A 1,947-nucleotide genomic window follows, 5' to 3' on the forward strand; every position below is an offset into this window, starting at 1 on the left:
AACATTTTTACATTTTAAAAATTGTACTGCACTTTCTATCAATTGCCATTGCATTCAACGCTCTCTCATTATTATGTACAAATATATAGTGTGTATATATATATGTATACACGCAAACACACACACACATACATACACACATACACAGACACAATCCACAACACTATTTTAAAACATTTCTGGTATACTTGGGTCAAATTTGGGACCAAATTCTAGCAAGGTAGTAGGTCTTTATGTGCATTGCAGATAAATATCATTAATTGCATTTTAATTTATTTAATGTAATATATATTGTTACATAATATGCATTAAAGGTTTTCATCGGAATTAAGTAAAGGAGAAATATGGATGATGAAAGAAACAAAGAAGAAAAAAAGGTGGCAGCCTAACATTTTCTATAAATCTACTGTGAGCTAGGTACTTTATAAGCATTAAGTCTAACATTTACCTATATCTAATCTCATTGTAATTTTTTTGTTTTGTTTTGTTTTGTGAGATGGAGTCTTGCTCTGTCACTTAGGCTGGAGTGCACTGGTATAATCAGGGCTCACTGCAACCTCTGCCTCCCAGGTTCAAGCAATTATCCTGCCTCAGCCTCTTGAGTAGCTGGGATTACAGGCATGTACCACTACATCTGGATAATTTTTGTATTTTTAGTAGAGATGGGGTTTCACCATGTTGGCCAGGCTGGTCTTGAACTCCTGACCTCAAGTGATCTGGCCTACTCAGCCTCCCAAAATGCTGGGATTATAGGCATGAGGCACCACACCTGGCCTAATCTAACCATAATTTTATTTCCAGTTCATGAATGTATAGATGAGGTAACAGAGAAGCAAAGAGATCAGTATTTTAACCAATGATATTTTACTAAAATAGCAAACTCATAAGTTTAGTTTATATTTGTCAGTATTTGTGGTTTTTAAGCCAAATAATACCATCTTTAACTCTGAGTGTCATGCTGTCAAGAATTGTACCTTTGTGGGGAGGAGCCAAGATGGCCGAATACAAACAGCTCCGGTCTACAGCTCCCAGCATGAGCGACGCAGAAGACGGTGATTTCTGCATTTCCATCTGAGGTACCGGGTTCATCTCACTAGGTAGTGCCAGACAGTGGGCGCAGGTCAGTGGGTGCGCGCACCGAGCGCGAGCCGAAGCAGGGCGAGGCATTGCCTCACTTGGGAAGCGCAAGGGGTCACGGAGTTCCCTTTCCGAGTCAAAGAAAGGGGTGACGGATGGCACCTGGAAAATCGGGTCACTCCCACCCAAATACTGCGCTTTTCCGACGGGCTTAAAAAATGGCGCACCGCGAGATTATATCCGGCACCTGGCTTGGAGGGTCCTACGCCCACGGAGTCTCCTGATTGCTAGCACAGCAGTCTGAGATCAAACTGCAAGGCAGCAGTTAGGCTGGGGGAGGGGCGCCCGCCATTGCCCAGGCTTGATTAGGTAAACAAAGCAGCTGGGAAGCTCGAACTGGGCGGAGCCCACCGCAGCTCAAGGAGGCCTGCCTGCCTCTGTAGGCTCCACCTCTGGGGGCAGGGCACAGACAAACAAAAAGACAGCAGTAACCTCTGCAGACTTAAATGTCCCTGTCTGACAGCTTTGAAGAGAGCAGTGGTTCTCCCAGCACGCAGCTGGAGATCTGAGAACGGGCAGACTGCCTCCTCAAGTGGGTCCCTGACCCCTGACCCCTGAGCAGCCTAACTGGGAGGCACCCCCCAGCAGGGGCACACTGACACCTCAAACTGCAGGGTATTCCAACAGACCTGCAGCTGAGGGTCCTGTCTGTTAGAAGGAAAACTAACAAACAGAAAGGACATCCACACCAAAAACCCATCTGTACATCACCATCATCAAAGACCAAAAGTAGATAAAACCACAAAGATGGGGAAAAAACAGAACAGAAAAACTGGAAACTCTAAAAAGCAGAGCGCCTCTCCTCCTCCA

General features: G+C 45.1%; 1 annotated feature.

The window, feature by feature from the left end:
- Positions 635 to 1,190: an enhancer, noted in NCBI's record as "H3K27ac-H3K4me1 hESC enhancer chr11:89477010-89477565 (GRCh37/hg19 assembly coordinates)". NCBI's record gives its function as "activates a minimal SCP1, AML or CMV promoter by ChIP-STARR-seq in primed H9 embryonic stem cells {active_cell/tissue: H9 hESC(primed)}" and the evidence as "EXISTENCE:reporter gene assay evidence [ECO:0000049][PMID:30033119]".

The sequence above is a fragment of the Homo sapiens genome, chromosome 11 (assembly GCF_000001405.40).
Source record: "Homo sapiens chromosome 11, GRCh38.p14 Primary Assembly".
NCBI lineage: Eukaryota > Metazoa > Chordata > Mammalia > Primates > Hominidae > Homo > Homo sapiens.